This window comes from Homo sapiens, chromosome 2, assembly GCF_000001405.40.
Source record: "Homo sapiens chromosome 2, GRCh38.p14 Primary Assembly".
NCBI lineage: Eukaryota > Metazoa > Chordata > Mammalia > Primates > Hominidae > Homo > Homo sapiens.
In genome coordinates, this window is record NC_000002.12 from 65,157,249 (window position 1) to 65,159,392 (window position 2,144).

The following is a 2,144-nucleotide window of genomic DNA, read 5'->3' on the forward strand; positions in this document are numbered from 1 at the left end:
GCTACCTTCTAGAATAGGCTATTTTTACTAGCAGAATTACTATAGAAAAGAATTATGTTACATTTCATAAATAGCTCTTCCTGGGAGCATAATGATAACTCTGCTTCTGCTTTTCAAGAAGTCAGCCAAGAAAGGTTGGGAGAAATCTATTATATTGTCAAAAAGCAATTTTTCATACTAGTCCATGGGACTAACAACATTTAGGAAGAACCTGGCTTGCCATGGAATGTAGAGGATGTGGGTGAGTGGGTTTTTTTCTTTTCTTTTTTTTGAGACGGAGTCTCGCTCTGTTGCCCAGGCTGGAGTGCCGCGATCTCGGCTCACTGCAAGCTCCGCCTCCCAGGTTCACGCCATTCTCCTGCCTCAGCCTCCCAAGTAGCTGGGACTACAGGCGCCCGCCACCACGCCCGGCTAATTTTTTTGTATTTTTTAGTAGAGACGGGGTTTCACCTTGTTAGCCAGGATGGTCTCGATCTCCTGACCTCGTGATCCGCCCGCCTCAGCCTCCCAGAGTGCTGGGATTACAGGCGTGAGCCACCATGCCTGGCCGTAAGAATTATGTTACATTTCATAAATAGCTCTTCCTGGGAGCATAGTGATAACTCTGCTTCTGCTTTTTAAGAAGTCAGCCAAGAAAGGTTGGGAGAAATCTAATTATATTGTCAAAAAGCAATTTTTCATACTAGTCCAAGGGACTAACAACATTTAGGAAGAACCTGGCTTGCCATGGAATGTAGAGGATGTGGGTGAGTGTTAATGACAGTGGGTGTCATGGTCGGGAGTGGTGACTCACTCCTGTAATCCCAGCACTTTGGGCGGTTGAGGAAGGCAGATCATTTGAGGTCAAGAGTTCAAGACCAGCCTGGCCAACATAGTGAAACCCTGTCTCTACTAAAAATACAAACATTAGCCTGGCGTGCTTGCGTGTGCCTGTAATCATAGCTACTTGGGAGGCTGAGGCACGAGAATCGCTTGAACCCAAGAAGCAGAGGTTGCAGTGAGCTGAGATCCCGCCACTGCACTCCAGCCTGGTGACAGAGTGAGACTCTGTCTCAAAAAAAAAAAAAAAAAAAAAAACAGTGGATGTCAAAGGTACATCTTCATATCCCATAGGACACTTGTTTAAATTTTGCCAGGTCAAAGGGAGATTATTCTTATTCTGACTTTAACCCACATTAATTCTAATATATCGAGTTGTGTCATTTTCCTTTAAGGAAGTACAAAGTTTCAATGAAACAGCTGAATTGATAGGAGTTCCAAGAATTGCAACAAATAGAATAAAAAGAACAATGAAATCATTCACAAAAGAGGCCATTCACAGACAGCTTGGTACAACTGTAGTAAAAAAAAAATATAGAACAAACTGAAGTGAAAGGAAAGTATAGCTCAGGATTCTGGATTTTAAAAGTTTTATCCAGCAGTCGTTAGCTCTCCTGGCTAGTGTGATGCCTGTGATGGTGTTTCACTGTTGGAACAGCAAGCACTGTCTTAATTGAGGCTTGGCTCCGGGTGCTGTTTTGGTGTGGGGCCAAGTATACCTTTGGGCAGTGTTTTGCACTTCTGAGAGTGAAATGACTCCTGTGGAGTCGGTCCTAATCTGAGTGCAAACAATCTTTTCTGTTGAAAAAAATAATTTTGAGGCCAGGTGTGGTGGCTCACGCCTATAATCCCAGCACTTGGGGAGGCTGAGGCGGGCGGATCACCTGAGGTCAGGAGTTCGAGACTAGCATGGCCAACATGGTGAAACCCTGTCTCTACTAAAAATACAAAAAATTAGCTGGGCCTGATGGCACACACCTGTAGTCCCAGATACTCAGGAGGCTGAGGTGGGAGGATCGCTTGAACCCAGGAGGTGGAGGTTGCAGTAAGCCAAAATTGTGCCACTGTACTCCAGCCTGGGTGACACAGCAAGACCCTGTTTCAAAAAAAAAAAGTTTTGGGTTCAGTTTAATTTCTTTTCTTTCAAAAAGATTTTTTTTTTTTTTTTTTTTTTTAGAGATAGGGTCTTGCTATGTGGCCCAGGTTTGTCTTGACTCCTGAGCTCAAGAAGTCCTCATGCCTCAGCCTCTCAAAGTTCTGGGATTACAGGTGTGAACCACGATGCCCAGCCAAGTTTAATTTTTTTGTTTGTTTGTTTTTGCTTT

At 43.9% G+C, this 2,144-nt stretch overlaps 1 non-coding gene across 1 annotated transcript; it reads left to right on the forward strand.

Annotated features, from left to right (window-relative positions):
- The first annotated feature begins 1,413 nt into the window (after positions 1–1,413).
- LOC124906140 (small nucleolar RNA SNORA74) lies at positions 1,414–1,612 on the forward strand. Its single transcript, XR_007088706.1, has one exon. It is a non-coding gene; the product is annotated as a small nucleolar RNA SNORA74 (small nucleolar RNA).
- Positions 1,613–2,144: the final 532 nt, after the last annotated feature.